General features: G+C 46.4%; 1 non-coding gene across 1 annotated transcript, besides 1 other annotated feature; it reads left to right on the forward strand.

Moving 5' to 3' along the window:
* The first annotated feature begins 4,300 nt into the window (after positions 1-4,300).
* On the forward strand, positions 4,301-4,407 carry LOC124901518 (U6 spliceosomal RNA). The gene has a single exon (XR_007059942.1). It is a non-coding gene; the product is annotated as a U6 spliceosomal RNA (small nuclear RNA).
* Positions 13,893-15,092: an enhancer, noted in NCBI's record as "P300/CBP strongly-dependent group 1 enhancer chr6:45623433-45624632 (GRCh37/hg19 assembly coordinates)". NCBI's record gives its function as "activates an origin of replication core promoter dependent on BRD2, BRD4, P300/CBP, MED14 and CDK7 cofactors, with strong dependence on P300/CBP, by STARR-seq in HCT116 cells {active_cell/tissue: HCT116}" and the evidence as "EXISTENCE:reporter gene assay evidence [ECO:0000049][PMID:35650434]".

Genomic DNA, 18,325 nt, shown 5'->3' on the forward strand with positions numbered 1-18,325 from the left:
CTTCAAAAGAGAACCCAAGCCTCCATCTTATCTCCTGTTTGCTCCTTAATTCCCTTTCCACGGTCCCTGCTGTAGGTGGGAAACGGAGCCTGTGGTCAGATGCAGGGTGGGACCCTCACGGTCTGGGTGAGCCTTGCCTTGAGAATGAGTTTCTCTGAACTTCTTCCAAGGGAACTCTTTTCGAATGTTCTCTGATTTCCACAGGGAGCTAATTGCCAATGACCTTTTTTAAAAAAACCCTCTTGGGTGTTTCTCAGTGCAGGAAGAAGCAGTGGTGGGGAGGGGGAGCTGCGGCCGGCACTAGTGACCCCACCGTCTGAGAGCTTCTAACAGGGGGCGAGTTTCAGCAGGCTCCGTGGAAAGCCCTCAGTGAGGCCTGGTGAAAATAGGCCCCCCGTACTTTTGTAGAATTTTCCTTCTAAAACTAACATGAGGGCCGCAGCAGCAGCTTTTTGTCCCAAGTAATCACCGGATGGATTTTTTTTTTTTAACCAGCTTCTGTGCTCCTCAGAAGGAACATTTGTAACCATGCATTCTTTATGTGGTCTTCGATTAATAAACAGGAACCCACCTTTCTAGACCGATGGGGAAACAATTTTTTTTCTGTGTGCTGCTCCTGTGTGTAGGGTCCATGAATGGGGGCTTTGAGAACTTGTCCTTTCGTGGCCAGATATCAAAGTGCTGCTCACACATACAGATTGACCGCCTCAAGGTGCGGCCCGGGCCGCCGCCCGCGTGGCCGCCCACTGCGCTTCCACGCTGGCCGCCTGGTCGGGCCGCAGGGCCAGACTTGTGATGACCCAGTTTTCTTCCCTGGGATGAACGCCGACCCACCAGGAAGAAGGGGGAGACCACCAGCAGCCATTCTCCACCGAGTCCTAAAATAACCATATTTATATTGACTTGTATGGGCTCTTTTTTGTGGCATTCCTCTCCCATTCATATCCCTCTGGGAAGAGAAAGTTCATTTTTAAAGATTTTCTGGCCTCATGTTCTTCCCTTTCTTTTCTTTTTTTCCCCTCAGCTCCTCTCTCCTCCTCTCTCCTCTCCCCTCCCCTTTTCTCTCTCCTGTCTCGCCTCCTCTCTCCCCTCCCTTCCCTTTCTCTCTCCTCTCCCCTCTCCTCCCCTTCTCCTCTCTCTCCCCTCCCCTCTCCTCCCCTTCTCCTCTCTATCTCCTCCTCTCTCATCTCCCCTTCTGTCTCCCCTCCTCTCCTCTCCCTTCCTTTCCCCTTCTCTCTGCCCTCCTCTCTCCCCTCCCCTTCCCTCCTCTCTCCCCTCCCCTCCTTTCCCCTTGCCTCCCCTTCTCCCTTCCTCTCCTCTCCCCTCCTCTCCTATCCCCTCCCCTCCTCTCCTCTCCTCTCCCCTCCTTTCCTCTCTTCCTTCCCTTGTCCTCCTTTCCCTCCCACATCACAGACTGGGGTTCCCCCAGAGTCTTCTTCCTTGTGCTGCCTCAAGCATTGAGCTGTGACTTCAGGGAAAGGAAGCAGGCAGCATCAGGCTGGGGAGTAGAGATCACAGTCAGGTCCCTCCAGACAGAGCGACATGTGAAGGGCTGGGACTCTGTCTAGGATTCCTGAAGCCTGAGATTAGGCTGGTGAAGACGTGAGCAACAGCCAGGAAGACAAAAGGCAGCAACGTAGTAACTGGAAGTGTGTATCCTGAGTATTTTGGCAGTACTGGGTCCTCTGGAGGGCTCTCCTGTCTGGCAAAGGCATCTCCTGACCTTTGGCTTCTATTTGATTATGCTGGGAACCAGCTTCAGAGTGCCTATAAGCAGCAGCACTGGCCATGACCATTGACTCAGAGAGGGGTGAAGAGGCAGGAGTGTCCCCATTCTGTTCCCTCCTCCTTCCTCGCCTTCTCCCACCAGTCCTCCAACCCTTGTTCTGGTTACTCTAGAAGACCCTGTAAGGAAGATAGAGTTATGGTCACCTGGGCTAAAATCTGGACAGGTTAAAAGTAACACTCGCTCTGCCACAGTCTTCCAGAGCTTCTCAAGAAGCTCTTTGCAGAGGTGAGCGGTGAGGAGACTCTCAGGTGTAGTCAGGGCGGGGTTTGTGGCAAGAGAGGGGCTTAGGCTGTCTTTGCTGTGATTCACACTGTTCATCGTCCAAGGTGAGGCAGCTAAGGGGGCTCTCACCGTGACATCTGCAGCTGGAATCGAATGAGGTGGGACCTTTGGGTCTCCTCTACCTGCATATGTTGGCAGACAGGGATAGTGCGGGTTTGATCTTCATAGGGAAGAGATGCTGGGTGGCAGGAATGGGACGTTTTAGGAAATGGTAGAGGGACTAGTACTCAGCTCTCTCACACTCCTGCCCCCAGAGTGCCCAGAGGCCCCTGGGAGACACGCTGTGGGTGGGATGGGGAGCCCTTGTTCTCATGCTGCAGATGAACACACTGAGGCTCCCAGTTGCAGCATGACTTGCACCTTCAGAGTGTCGGTGTACCCCAAGCTGTGCTTTCCCAGCTGCTCCCCCAACCCCAGGTACGCATGCCTTTGCAGAGGAAGAAACGTGGGTGGGCCTGCAGTGCTGGTTGTGATTCTTAGCAGCCCTGATGGTTGTCCAGGGGATATCACCTGCCCAAATCTCACATAATTCTTACCCCTCTTTGTAGGGACAATGCCAACGGGAAATGGGAGGAAATGATGGGAGTATACACTGTGGCCGCAGCAGGGCAATGGCTGTAGACTGAAACATCCTTTGCACAGGGTGTGCCCTGTTTCTTAAAGCTTCCATGCTGATGGTGCCCTGTGGGAATACCCCACCCTGCCCTTGGCTTGGCTGAGACAGTCTCCCTTCTCCTCCCCTCATGCTCTCAGGCATCGCCAACACTCTCAGGAAGCAAGAAGACTCCCCTCTCCTTTCCCTGATTTGAAGGAAACAAAATTGGTCCATGGGCACGTGTCCAGGCCATAGGGCAGTTTGGAGACTTCTTGATAAGGGCCCTGTCACATGGACCACCAAGCTGAACCCCCAGGGAGCCAGGAGGTAAGAGTCAATTACTGAGGGGCTTGGAAGAAGTGAGAGCAGGTCCAAGAAAGCAGGCAGCAGGAGGGGAAGGGCTGTAATTAAGTAGCCACAGGCCAAGGTGCTGAGTCTGTTGTTTTTAGACTTTGAAATACTTTTGTTGTGCTAATGCAGGTGCTGCTGGGGGTGAACAACTGAGTGGCCTTATTGTGAGAGGAGTAGCTTTGGGTGTCTCTTTGTTAGTCCATGGCTGAAACACCCCAGAATAAAGTCTCAGAGTAAAGCAAGTCCTCCACTTGTCAAAGTGACTGTTGAAGGTTCTGGAAGATGAGGCCAATTCTGCTTTTCTGGCTTGAAGGAGGGCAGAGGTGCTGGTCTCTGTGAAGGGGTGGCCTATCCAGGATCCTATGCTGGGCACTGTCCATAATTCTAGAGTGGAGCCAGCCTTGGAGGAGCTGGCATCTCCTGCAGCATTGGTCAAGGGGATGTTTGCCTTGCCTCTCAAAATATTTCTTAGAAAAGGGGAGTTTCAAATAAATTTGGAAAACTCTACATTCTGCCTCTCTCTCGGATGTTTATGATGCTCTTTATCATGTTAAGGTCCTCAGAATTCCTAAGGGAAAGAAACCATTTAACTGTGTTCAGCTCAGAATGTTCTAGCATGTTTATCATGGGACCGAATTTACATAGACGCTAGGAAACAGCCTCTAGGAAACCCCCTTTTAAAAGTGAAATACTTCTCTGGTTTGGTTTTTGTTTCTGCAGGGGTGAGTAAAACATTTAGGGAGGGGACTGTATCACTGTATGAGACACAGTCCCTACTCTCCTCTTGTTGAAGAGGCAACACACAGCTCCCCATACCCCCAGATAACCAACCAGCCTTGAGAGGGAGGTATGGGGAGAGATTTGTTAAAGGATCCAAAATTACAGCTAGATAAGAGAAATAAGTTCTAGTGTTCTGTACCACTGTAGTTAACGGTCATATAGTTTCAAATAGCTAGGAGGAAGATATTGAATACTCCCAACACACAGAAATGGTAAAAGTTTGGGAAGATAGATATGTTCATTACCCTGATCTGGTCAATATACATTATACGTATCAAAACATCATCATGTATCCCATGAATATATATAATTATTATGTATCAATTAAAAATAGAATTAAATTTAAAAAAGAAGAGAGTAGGTTGCTGGGGGTAAGGAGCTAGGGCAGGCTGAGGGTGGGAGTGGAGACCAGTAGGAGAAGAGGGAAAAAGAGTGAATGTTGGGGTTGAGGAGAAGCAGGTGAGGAAGAGTAAGGAAGGAATGAGAGACAAAGAGGGCCCAGGGTGCTTGCTTCGGCAGCACATATACTAAAATTGGAAGGATACAGAGAAGATTACCATGGCCCCTATGGTAGGGGGAGGCGGGGTGGGGGGAAAGTGAGGATGGTTAATGGGTACCAAAAGAAAAAATTGAAAGAATGAACGAGACCTAGTATTTGATAGTATAACAGGGTGACTATAGTCAATAATAATTTGATTGGATTACACATAGCACAAAGGATAAATGCTTGAGGGGAGGGATACCCCATTTTCCATGATATGGTTATTATGCATCACATTCCTCTATCGAAGTATTTTATGTAACCCATAAATATATATACCTACTATGTGCACACAAAAATGAAAATTACAAAAAAAAAAAAAAAAAAAAAAGAGCCCAGGTGCAGGAGGAAGGCTGCCTGGTTCTGTCCTGTCCCCAGGCTCAGGTTCACTTTAGCCCTCCCTCACTGGGTTCTTCCGGTCTGTGGGGAGCAGAGAAGTGGGACCCCGACTGAGAATTCTTGGATGAGGGTGGTGTGGGGATGGCAGTAGCTGTTTAGTCCCTGTGCGGGGCCAGAGAGCCAGCGTCAGTGCTCCCTCCTCCTCTGGGGACACTCTGTCCCTTGCAGTGATGCCAGGGAGGTGTAGGGTCAGTGGAAGGGGGTTCCTCTAATCTGTTCAGGGTCCTTTAGCTGAGGGTAGAGGGCAGAGGGCAGAGGGAATGCGACTCTGGGCCCCATTTTGTAACTGGCTGAAGTCTGACTGCTCGCCGCTCAGAGGTAGAAAACAGAAGAAGAGAGGTGTGGAGAAAGGAAAGCAACTTTATGAAAATGCTGGTGGTTGGGGTATGGCCAAGCTCATGCCTTTGGAAGATCATTCCAACTTTTTAGGCCGAGGGAAGGGTTTTAGGAAGGAAAAGGTGTGGGAATAGGCAGGAGTAGTGAAAAGGGGCGCAGGTCCGCCTGTCTGCTCTGTGGCCATCTCGGTAATGGCTTGTGGGGAGGTCTGATTCGCATCATACTGACTTCAGCCCGGCAGTGGGGGGCTCACTGTTGCTAACTCTTCTTGAGTGGGAGGATCCTGCAGCTGGGTCTCTCTGCCTGGTATGTTTCAAAGTTGGTCCCTGGAATTTCTAAGCAAGCTCATAATTAGACAAGCGTGCACAGTGGGAAAGGAAGAAGCAAAGAGTTTCAAAGTCTGCCTCAAGGCTGAAAGTAAGAAAGGAAAAAAAAATGTTTAAATGCATCTTGAGGCTGAGATACTGGGTTACAAAGAATTCATCACCTGGGGCCTATCTTATGCTCACAATCTCCATGGCCTCAGGACGGGCATGGGGCCTGAGAGTGCTGCTTGTGAGGGCCAGTGTGTATCCCTGATCTGGGATGTGTTTCTGTGTGCCCAGGGGAGGATGTGACACATGCAGGCATGCCCAGCCGCCAGGCAGCACCTGCTTAGGGACACAGCTGCAGCCAGGACAAGGGGCATTCTTGGCTGCTGCCTCATGGCCACCGTAGCAGCTGCCTGGGTGTTTTCCCGCATTTTGGGTGTGATGCTGATGTTGGGAAGTCCTAGTGGGGAAGAGCCACCCAGGGCCTCCTGTGCTCCTTGGTCAGCCAGGCTCTGTTCTGTCACCATCACCAAGCCTCGACACACATCAGGCTTGGCTTCAGGGAGCCTCACTCAGTAACCTGTTTTGGCAATTGGTCCAAGAGGCAGAGCAAATTTTAGAGCCAGGGCTCAAAGTCAAATTTATTTCAATCTATGAAAGTGTATATGAGGATAAAAAGAAGAGATGTAGGTGGGGAGCAAAGGCAAGGGAGAGGAAGGGAGGAGAGACGAGGAAGTACTCACGTGGACAAGGGCCCACCCCAACTGAAGCAACTTCCTTTCTCATCATACAGATTAGAGGGGAACAAGTTTTGGCTGCATTAGAAAGAGAAAAAAAAGGAAAAGTAGAAGAAGAATTTTTTTTAAAAGGTAAAGAAAGCAGGCCAAGAAATTACTTAAAGGCTTTCTGAAGGCCTCATAGCTCATACTACTTGTTCCAAGTTATATAAGACACAGGGGAAGAGTTACAGGAAACATATGACAACTAAGCAGAATTCCACTCTATAATAACATTTTTTTCTCATATAACTTCTTTAATCCAAGGATCTTAAAACACTTCACAAATTTGCAACAATTAAACCTCATGGCATAGCTGTGGGAAAGAGTGTTGTTTTGCTCATTTTATGTGTAAGTGAGCTACAGCCCAGAGCGTTTGAAAGAAAATGTTTCCAGAGCCCGCCAATGAAAGTGGCCTGGGTCTGGGTCTCACAGAAAGCCTGGGCTCCACTGCGTACATCCAGGGAACTTCTGCTTCAGGGGAAGCTCTGCTTCCAGGAAGCCTCTCCCAGCGGCCTGCACCTCAACAGGCAGACAGCAGATGGTAGAAAACGGTCAGCTGGGAGAAGGAAAGGCTCTGCTGGCTTACAACAAATAAATAAGCAAATGAACAAATAAAGAAATAATAAAAATATATAATAAAATATAATGTATAATAAACATTTTTAAATAAAAATATAAAAGTTATAGTTCACTAAAATTTTATTCTTCTTTGCCTCATTTTGTTCTCCTTTTGCTGTTATATGTATGTGAAAAAGCAGCCATTCAGAATTTTTTTTCCCATAATGAGAAGGAAACTGGGAGCTGTCTTTTTCCGGGGTGGTGAGACCATGGGCCTGTGTGCTTGCATGTGAGAGGACAGGGGAAGTGAGGAAAGGGGAGAAAAGCCTGTGGAGAAGAGGACAGTTGCCTTCTTCATCTCAGTTGAAAGAGCCCTGGAAAATATTGATCTCACTTTTCCCTCAGAATGGTAGAAAGTATGAGAACTCTGTTGTGGCCTCAGGAACCAGGTCTGGCAGGTGGTACAACGTGCCAGGCTGGCAGCTGCGATGGGGAGAGTGGATAGTTTGACCCCAGCACAGCCAGGGACAGCAGAGCAGCCCACCTGCCCTACCACCTCCATCTGTTACTTGGACAGTTGATACCAGCACACAGGAAAGGCTGAGAGGAGAAACAGGGCCTCTCTCCTCAGCAAGCTTTTCCTTCAAGTTGAGATTTTCCTTCCCAAGTTATGCTTTCCACAACTAAGGATGCCTTGACCCTTCCTGAGGGTCTTGGGCTAGAAGGAGATAAAGGGCCTAAGGGGTCGGAGGTGCTGTGTCCTATTTTCCTCAATGCCTGAAACTCACTTGATGTCTTTGCCCCTCAGTTTCTGCATTTGAAAGACAGGAATAAAGATATTCACCTCTAAATTCTCAAGGATATTAGAAAGTCTTTTCTTTTTCTTTCTTTCTTTCTTTCTCTTTCTTTTCTTTCTTCTTTCTTTCTTTTTCTTTCTTCTTTCTCTTCCTTCCTTCCTTCTTTCTTTCATCTTTCTTTCCCTCCCACCCTCTCTCTTCTTTCTTTCTTTCCTTCTCTTTCTCTCTTTCTTTTCCTCTTTCTTTCCTTCCTTCCTTTCTTCCTTTGAGACAGAGTGTTGCTCTGTTGCCCAGGCTGCAGTGCAATGCCATGATCTCGGCTCACTGCAACCTCTGCCTCCCGGGTTCAAGCAATTCTCCTGCCTCAGCCTCCCAAGTAGCTGAGATTACATCTGCCTGCCACCACACCCGGTGAATTTTTTTTGTATTTTTAGTAGAGTCGGGGTTTCACCATATTGGTCAGGCTCGTCTCGAACTCCTGACCTCAGGTAATCAGCCCACCTTGGCCTCCCAAAGTGCTGGGATTGCAGGTGTGAGTCTATGCTACATTCATAAAAGACGTTCATCTTCTTCGGCCCAAAGAGCTGAAGCTAGTGAACCTCAACGATGGTGATACCAACAATTCCTTGCTACAATCTAACAGTTTGCAAAGTGCTTCCCAGAATCTGCTCCCATTAACCCGGGTTGAGGCAAAGCTTCACAGATATTTAACAGTCTCATGGTAGCACTCCATTTGTTTTAACTCAAAGATCTATCGAAGGATGTCATTGATTTTTATTGAGCTTCTCCCCCAAACTCTTAGGGGTAATTCTAAACTATCACTAGCAGAAACTGATCATGGCTGGACTCCACTGGCCAGGATAGCCAGTTCTGGTAGTCAGAACTCGCACATGAAATTGTAATGAATCTACTTCGTTTGAGTATTTCAGATGGGTTGTCAACATCAATAAAATTGCATAGATAGTTCTACCTACCTGGCAGCCCAGTTCACCTGGGCCTCTCAGAGGGTGTGTTAGGGTCTCGGATCTTGTCATTGTGAATCTGGGCAATGCTTCTCCTTTCTTCTCCATTCCTCTCCTCATCACCCCCTCCTCCGGTTTTCTAAATGCCCAAAATATAAAGAGCAATGGAACCATACAAGAGAGCTTAATTTTGAAAGGAGGTGAGCTGCATAAACAGGGATCTTTGTGTAGTTCTGGAGAATATTAATAGTCTGATCAAGTTTGTTGTAAATATATTTCCCTTATCTCCTCTAACTTGGGGACTGTACAGAGGGAGAGTCAGGGAGAGGGAGGGGGCCTTCTGGATTTTTGCCCAGGGTTACTCAGCAGGGACATGGTTTTCCTAAAGTTCCAGAAGGGAGGGGAGGCCACTGCAAGCTCCACCATGTGTCCCAGTATATCATGTTGACTCATGACTAGATCTTGAGAAAAACTCACAGAAGTCAGGAAATTCCTGGCAAATGCTCTCATCTCACCCTCTGCTAACCTTGCAGGGAGAGCATAGGTAGGGTCAGATCGGAGGATGTTTTTAAAAGGAAAAATCAAAGCATGTCTGTAGCTTCTGCATGCCTGTAGTGGGACAAAGAGTCCTAACAGGCCTGGCTGAAGATGCAGAAGCAGCTTCAAGCCCCAGTGACCAGGGACAGCCAGCACTGGTATGTTTCTTCGTTCTAGATTTTTATTTCTGCAAAAGATTTTCCCCCTCTCCTTGGCGTTGTTTCCCCATGGGGAGTAGCATCTTTCTTTTTGAGCAAAGCCAAATGACCAAGGCACCACCCCCACCCCCTTCAATGGACAGGGCCAAATTTAGAGTTGGGGTTGCTCATTTAAGCTTTGTATGTAATTGAGCCTGGCACAAAGGGTTATCATTAGAAGGAATGGCATGAAATGAAGGAATGGAAAAGCTCAGACCCAAATTAGAAAAGATGTCCTGAGGGAGAGACACAGTGGCAAGGCTGGGAGCTCTGGTCTCAGAGGAATTCTTAGGAGAAAGGACTGGGCATTAAAAGTGCCTGGATGGGACAACTAGGGAACTGAATATGGCCCTGCCATCTCTTGGGATTATTTGCTTCTAAGTGCAAGGGCATGGTGGTAAGAGGTGGCAACAGACACCAGAGGCATCAATTGTTAAGAGCCAGCGTCTGCTCCCAGGGCACCATGGAATGCTGAAATAGGATTATCCTCTTACCAGATGTTTACCAAGTGTGTCCAGGGCTGGGCAGTGTTACTTTATTCCCCAAGCAAATGGAAGGTGCTAGAGGACTCAGCCAGTTCCGCTGACTTACTGAACATCCTTGTCGGAAACCTTGCTGCCTATTGCTTTGGGGAATGGAGCCATCACCTCCCTCCTCTCCAGATGGGGTGTCCTACTGCTTGGTTGCTCAGTGTGGGTTGGGGACTTGGCAAGGGAACACCATGGAACAAACCAAGGAGGCTTTTTCTCTGAGGTGCCTGTCCCGGCTGACACATCTGTCACCCTTGGCTCCCCCCGGAAGTCCTGGAGCTTGATGGTGTGAAGAGGGCCCAAGTGAACTCCATACGGCTGGGCGCAGCTTGCCCGTTCACCCTGCAGGATCAGTCCTCCTGCCTGCCTATCCTAGCTGTCCCCCCGTCCTCCTGGTTGACTCACGTGGGAGCTGGCAGCAGGGGGCTGCAGTCGTTCCCTCCGCTCCTCGCCAGACTGTCTCTGCTCCCCACATTAATGGTGGTGTCCTAGCTCCATGTGACCCCGGCTTCTAATATTCTTGGGTTAGTTCAGACTATACAGCTGGCCCAACTCTAGGCTTCCTAGCCTTGTTAAAGCCAAAATGCTGTCTTTTACTACCCTGCTCTTTCCATCAAGTTCTTCAAGCAACCCGAGTTTTAGAAGCTAGATGACTCTTTTGGTGAGCTCTTCCTCTGGGGGTAGGGAGCCTGGGTTTCAGTAGGGCCTGGACTGGGCTACATCATTGTTATTTTTTTTTAATGGTAGTTTTAGAAAAGAAGGTTCAAAGGTGAGTGACCCTCCAGGAGGAAGGATTAAGTGGGTTGACTTGGGAGCCATTCAACCCAGGAGGCATTGCTAAGGAACATAATCTATTTTGCATTTCGTTTCATGAGCCAAAGTCAGTTATGGCATAGGAATAGCTTTCTCATGCTGTCTCTCCCTTTCTCCATTCTACAAAAATATTCATGCCAAATAATATGCAAGTTGTATAAACATCCCTTCAAAAAGCACATAAAGATATTATATATAGTCACATATGTCTCCTTCCAAATGGGTGTGTTCCTAGAGATGCATAGAGATATCTTTCACACCCTATATGTAAAAAACAGCCAATTTAAGAATTGGCAGAACAGCCTTGCCTAAGTGAGTAGAAAACTTTGGCTCAGGGCTCTCCAAACAATCCCATAAAACCCATGCTTGCTTTTATTGAATGGTGATGCATGAAAGACCAAGGGTGGCCAACTTGAATGAGGGCAGGAGCCAGCGTTCACAGGATTGTCATAAAGGGTGGCAGGAAAGTTTCTTTTTGCTGAAATTCAATCTATTCCTAGAAAAAAAAAATTGCTTCCAATACTGGCTGGCTGGATGTCACTCTTATGTTCACTTCTGCTGCAACATCATTTGAGCTCATCAATGTTCAAGATGTTACTTTTACATTTGGTCTTCTCGCCTCCAGCCTCATCCCATCCATTTCAGCCTCCACTCCACTGGCTGCCAAAGTAATCTTTTTAAAAGGCAAATCAAATCTATTACTTTCCTACTTAAAACCCTTTGGTGGCTCCCCGTTGCCTGCTAAAGTTCAAATTCCTTAGCTTGGTAGACAAACTCCCTCAACCTTCTGTCCTCCGTTACCCTTTAAGCCATTCCATGAAGTCCCCCAGCCCCATGGACGCTCCACTCCAGCCATTTCAGACGGCCTTTGAGGCCACAGTCTTCCAAGCCTCATGCATTTGCACATGCAATTTCCTCCACTGGCATATTCCCTGGGGATATGAGTGGAACAGTGATAGCATCTGTGGTCAGAGCAAGGGGGACAGGAAGATGATGTGGTAGAGTGGAGGGTGGCACTTTTAACTAGGGTGGCCAGAAAAGCACACTTGAGAAGGTGACTTTGAGTGAAGGCTGACGGAGATGAGGGAGACAGCCTGCAGATATCTGAGGGAAGAGCATTTCAGGCAGCAGGAACAGCAAGTGTAAAGGCACTGAGGTGGGAATGTGCTTGGTGCCTTCAAGGAATAGTTGGAGTAGGGTGAGCAATAAAGGGATGAGGTGTCTGGAAGTTGGGTGAGGACCATGGAGCTCTTGACCCAAACACTTGCCAGTGTTGCCAGTGGGAATGAGTGACCTGAGCCAGAAGGTTGGCTGTGAAATGCTTGGAGGTTGCAACACTTTGCTTATAATGCAGATGAGTGTAAGAGTGGTTCTGAAAGTGTCAGGCTCTAGACTTTACTTTCTCCCAACCTGCATCCACACAGTCTCAACAAAGCCATTTTACTAGAATTTGACACCCTGATGACTAAAAAACCAGACATCTTTGAGGAGGCATTAATGTTTAGTTAGAGTCCAGGACTGGGTAAGTAATCCTCATCCTCAGGAGCCTCCGGGGTGCTTAACCCATACCTGATCTATCATGTTCTCCATAGCAATTTATTTTATCAGCTCTTCCCATTCCCATTTTATAAACATTTATGGTAATGCCATATATAGATCTTTCAAGTGCTTGGACAAAATTGTGAATTAAGGTGTCAAACTTCTCCTCCACCTTTTTATTGTGGTAAAGTATACACAACATGAAATTTACTATTTTAACCATTTTTAAGTACATAGTTCTGTGGCATTAAGTACATTCACACAGTTGGGCAACCATCACCAGAACTTCATCCTTCCCAACAGAAGCTCTGTATCCTTTAAGCACTAACTCCCCCTCATTTTGCTTTCTGTCTCTATCAATTTGACCACTCCAGGAACTTCATACAAAAGAAATCATACAATGTTTTGTGTACTGGCCTTTGTGACTGGCTTATTTCACTTGGCAGAGGTCTCCAAGTTTATCCATCTTGTAGCATATATCAAAATTTCCTTCCTTTTTAAAGCTGAACAATATTCCATTGTATGTTTGTGCCACATTTTGTTTATTCTTTCATTCATGGATAGGCACTTGGGTTGCTTCCACCTTTTGACTCTCGTGAATAATATTGTTATGAACATGGGTGTACAGGTATCTGCTCTCACTTCTTTCTCTTCCCTTCTTTAAAGGTAGTCTTTGAGCAGAAGCACCTCTTGGCTGCTTGAATCCATCTGGATGGCTGCCCTTCTCCCTTGTCTTGACTTGGCTTTATTATCAATTGATGATGAAGTCTGTTTCTGATGAGCTCAACCCTCAGCCACCAGAAAATTAGGCTCTGAATGATATATACAGAAATAAATGTGTGATGACTTTTCTAATGTCACTCCTTGGGAAATCACTAGCACTGCTAGAAACAGAGACTAGGGATTTCCCCAGGGCTGGGCCTTCTCATTCTCAGATGGTGGCCCCTTAGGGGTCAAAGCCACAGAAGATGGCCAGTATTCTGCCTGGGAGAGTCAGTGGGCACCTCCCAGCCAGGGCTCCTGGACATCTCTTCGGAGATCCTGGTCCATTGGCTGCAGCAGAGCCTGGATGAAGCCAAGGCCGTGGTTTCAGCTGCCCCTGGGCCAACCCTCCTGACTCAGTGGCTATAGACTGCATTGCTACTCTCAGGCAGCTGACCTAAACAGCACTTGGACTTGAACAAACAAAATGAAAATTGTAAAAGAAATTTATAATAGAAAAAAATCACATGTTTTCAAAATAGAGGATGCCCAAATATGAGAGAGAATGGAATGAACTGAACAAACATGGGTGTTGGAATCAGCCAGATATAGATCAAGACATGGGTCTTATCAGCCATGGGGTTTGTGCAAGCCATCCAAATTCTGTGAGCCTCAGCTTCCCCATTTACAAATGGATATAGGGTCATTAAATGAAAAAAAAATAAAAAACATGAAACTTGCTTTTATTGAGCAGACCTTATTGCATATTAGAATCACCTGGAGAACTTTTAAAACCTAGGATGTCTGGGTATGACTCCTAGAGATACTGATTTAATTGGTCAGGGGCACCGATAGTGTTTATAAAACTCCCCAGGTGATTTTAATGTGCAGTCAAGGTGGCATATAACTGGCCTAGAGTGTAGCAGACCCTCCTCAAATATTAGCTTTCCTCAGTCCTCCTCCCATGCCTGCAAAAACTCTAGAAAGCACATGCCCTCCCTCACATGGAATAGCCTTGGCATCAGCTGCCTTGGTTCATATCACAGCTCTGTGCCAGTGACCAGGGTTCCTAACATAGCCGAGCCTCAATTTCCTCAATGGTAAGATGGGATTGATGACAGAAACCACTTCTAGTTTTCTGTGAAGATTAGAAGAGATAACGCATGGCTTGGAGTTAGAGAGTACACAATAAATGTCAGCTCTTATTGTGAGCATGGTCAGTGTCAAGTCAAGAATCCCATCATTTCCACTGCAGCCAGCCCTTCTCACCCCCTCCCTCCCCAAACCCCAAAGCAGAGAAACCAACCCTCCTGTTCCCTGCAGAGGGCTGGTCAGTTCCAGCTCTCCTGCTGAGCCATGTTCCTAGGAGATGCCTGGTGAGAACTTGGGATCAGATTGAGTCAGAGGTATTTGTAGACTTGACTCACCAGGTCTTAAAACCAGAAGATTGCCCTGTGGGTCTCATGACATTCCTGGAAAATAAAAGAAGTGAATATTATTGGGCTGAGTTCATCAGACACTCAGCCCTCCCTTTTGTATGCCGGTGCTTCTGAAGAGAGCAGGCAGCAACTTAGCCAAGTCTGAACCATCAAAGGCAATGGCCTGGTTGCAGTGCAGGGAGATGTTGCTTCTCCTGAAGACAGGTCTGTTCCTCTTTCCATTCCTCTTCTCTTCCAGTCCCCCAAGGCTATCGACTTTCTCCTCCTTCCAGGTTCCTGGGAAAATGTTTCTGAGGGCTGCCTCTGGTGAGGTGTGTCAGAGCTGAGCTATTTTCGAGGGCTGGGTGTGGGCTGGGAAGGGGCCACCCATATTCCAAAGAATAAGAAAGGGAAAGTTCCCCTTCTGGAGCCAGGATTTCTGGAACCTTGCACTGAAGCCCCAGCCAGGTAGGGGACCCATTTCTCTGAGGCCTTCTTTCCCCACACTGCGTCACATCCCTAACAATAGTAAGTCCTGTTGTTTCCACATCCCAACTATCTCTAGAATCTACTTCTCTGTATCTCCAGAGCCACAACCCTAGCAAAAGCCACTGCCATTTTATAATTTCTCACCTGCAACTGCAACCTCCTGTTTCTACTGTTTCTATTCTCTCTACCCTTGTCTTCCCAACCTGCCACCGGCAGGCAGGTAAAATTTTCAAAATATAAAACTGATCATGACACATACACGCATATGCACATTTAAGCTTAATACTCTTTCAAAGCTTCACATTGCTCTTGGGATAAAGGCAAAACCTCTAACAAGTCTGACAAGGTCATGTAGATCAAGATTTGGTTTGGCTATGAGTGACAGAAAACCCAAGTTAATAGGGGTTTGAATAGATAAGGTTTTCTTTTCTATGTGAAGAGTCTGCATTTCAACCAGTGAGGATTGGCACAGCAACTCCTTAAAGTGATGGGGGACTCAGACTACTTGAGTTATCTGCTCTGTCATCCTTAGTATGCAGTTTTCACTTCACAATCCAAGAGGGCTGCTTGAGCTCCAGCCATTGCAACCAAATCTCAGCTCACAGGAAGGAGGAATTGCACACAGCACTTCTACTTGCATCCTTCTGTGCAGAATTTAGTCACATGGCTACAGGTAGCTGAAAGAGAGGCTGGAAAATGTAATAATATTTTTTTCCAAGTGGCCATAGCCCACCAAAAATGGAGGAAGAAGGGGAGAATAGATATTGAGTGATAACTGGCAGTGTAAATCATATAGTACTCCTCTCCTGAGCATCATTATACCTCATGCCTTCTTCCCTTGGCTCTCTCCACTCCAGACACACTGGCTTTCTCCAGATGTTCCACACATTTGCAATACTCCCTCCTGCCATAGGCCCTTGCTCATGCTTCAGTGTTCTCTCCTCCCTCCTACTTAATTACTAATCCTTCAGAACTCCACTCAAGCAGAGTTCCCTCAAAGAACCTTCCAGAGGTCAGATCCTCATATTTAGAAGGGATTTTTTATCCTCCTCTTGTATGTTTAGCTTATAACATGTAGATTCTGTCACTGTTGCAATCACACATTTGTTTTGTATGACTATTTTCTGCACATCATCTGTCCCATGATGAGGACAGAATTTAGGCTTGGTTTTGTGCACTATGGAGCATCCTGCCTGGCACACAGTAGGTGCTCAATAAGTATTTCTTGAATGAATCAATGAATAAATTTAGATATTACCTAAAATGTATTAAAGGGGGACCAAGAATTAGGCAAAGGGTTTTCCTGGGGCAAGTCATAGGGAGTGGCTGAGAGGGGTTGGGAGATGCATTCTAAATAGTCCATCCAAATCTAGTAGGCTTTAGGTGTGGCAGAGAAAGTGTTGACCTGGAACTCAGAAGACCTGTTTTCTGATCTCAGCTCAGCCATCAACAGCTGGGCCACTGCCTAGAGACAGAAATGGTCAGATGTTGGGTATATTTTGAAGGTAGAGTTGACAACAATTGCTGACAGATTGGATGTGGGAATTGAGGGAAAGAGAAGGGTCAAGGATTAGTCCTGGGTGTTTGGCTGAACACACAGAAGGCCATTTATGGAGAAGGGGAAGACAGTGAAAGGAATAGCTTTTAAGGAGAGGGTCTGAAACTCTTATTTGCAAATGAGCCACATGTTCCCATAGCCAGATGCACACTTCAACTCTTCCACAGAGGAAGCCTAAGCCCCAGGCTGGGGGGTGTCAGTGGTGGAGAATACTAAATGGATGTAAAAAAAGTTAACTGAACCCCACCCCATCCCCCCAGAAAATGCCCAAACAACTGGACTTTCAAGGTGCATAGTTACCAGCCAAGTTATTCAGCTTAACTCAGCAACAAGATTGAAGAGAAAGTGGTCAGAAGACCTTGATACTAGGCTTGGTAGGAAGCAGTCACTTTGGGCTCAAAAGTCAGTGATGAGGGAAGGCATATCCATGCATAGTCACTGCAGAAATCTTTGAAAATTAAGAAAATTACAATCCCAGTACATGCCTCACATGCCTAACATCACCATGTATTTTCTCCCAATCTTTATTGTACACATTTTCCTGTAAGCAGTGGCACTCATCTGAATAATGTGATTTGGCAATTTCCCTTTCTCACTAAACATTATCATACATGTTTCTAAGTTGCTTTCTAAACAGGCTGTACTGATCTACTCAACTAGAATCAGTATATTAGAATGCTTCTCTCCTGGCAATCTTGTTCACAATGAGCGTTAGCAAAAGAATACTTTGACAATTTTATAAGTGAGAAATAGTAATTCATTATTATTTTAATTTGCAGGTTTAAAAAAATTTCTAGAGAGCCTGAACACTTCTCAAATGCTTGTTAGTTACATTTTTTTTTCAAGTGACCTTTGCAAAGATATTTCTAGACGTGGAAGGAACCAGAATAACCAATATTTAGTTAAATCCCACTTCCTTCACCTCAAGAAGCAGCATCTCTCCCTTCAAAAACCAACCATATGTATGAGGGGGATGGGGGTGGCAAAGCAGAGAGAAAGAAGTGCTGTGGTAGAAAGTTTGCACTCAACTGCTGCGTGGCAATGGCTCACCGCCAGCCTCTAGTCCACCTTCTTGTGAATGAGGGTGAAAGCTTTATAAGCAAATCAGTGCTAACTATAGCTGGTGGATGTCTGCTGTGCAGCTCTTTTGGATTTCCGCCCTAATCTGATCTGCCATCTGGGTTTTGATATGCACAGAGAGGCAGTCTGTTTTGGTGAGATCTACACCCCGTGTGCTCTCCCACTGACTCTGTGGGAGGACAGAGAGTCCACAGCCCGATCTGCTCCTTCAGGTAGGGACTCTGCCTGGTTTGGCTGTGTCTTAGAATATAGTGTAGCACCTGGCACACAGTAGGTTCTTATACATATTTGTTCTGTGACTGAGTGATCAGGATCCTGAAGGGATAACTAGGAGAGAGGAGACGCTGTTCTCTCTGTTCTCACTTCTATTCTCAGCTGTGTCACTAAACAGTAAGTCACTTTCTCTCACTGGCCTCTACTTCCTCGTTTTAAGCAATTAATCCAAAACGGCAGCAAAGATTTCTTCTAACTCTGAAATTGTGTGAAAACTTTTAACCCATCTTTGCTTTAGTTTCTTCATCTATGAAATAGGCAGGATGAAAATGTCAATCTCCTATGAGGGTACCCGATAAAATACAGGATGCACAGTTAAATTTGAATATCAGATAAACAAGAAACACATTTTTTCAAAGTATAAATATGTACCCAATATTGCATAGGTTCGATAAATAACTGGAGTGCTGGATGACCAAACAACATGCAGCTGGATCTGTTTATTGCATTTAGAGTTGTGTTTCTAGACTATGATGATTACATGGTGTTCAATCAACAAGTATTTATTAAGAATCTACTATACTCCAGGCACTGTTGAGGCCCTGGTGATACAGCAGAGAATGAAATAAGCAATGTCCCTGTTTTCACTGGGCTTAAATTCTAGCTAACAAAAGGTTCACAAAATGTCATGTAGTCTTCATGCTCAGAAGGCTAGCAAAGCAGGCTAAGGGCCAGAGACCATGTGGAGGGCTGAGAAAGGGAGTTAAGG

The sequence above is a fragment of the Homo sapiens genome, chromosome 6 (genome assembly GCF_000001405.40).
Source record: "Homo sapiens chromosome 6, GRCh38.p14 Primary Assembly".
NCBI classification, from domain to species: Eukaryota; Metazoa; Chordata; class Mammalia; order Primates; family Hominidae; genus Homo; species Homo sapiens.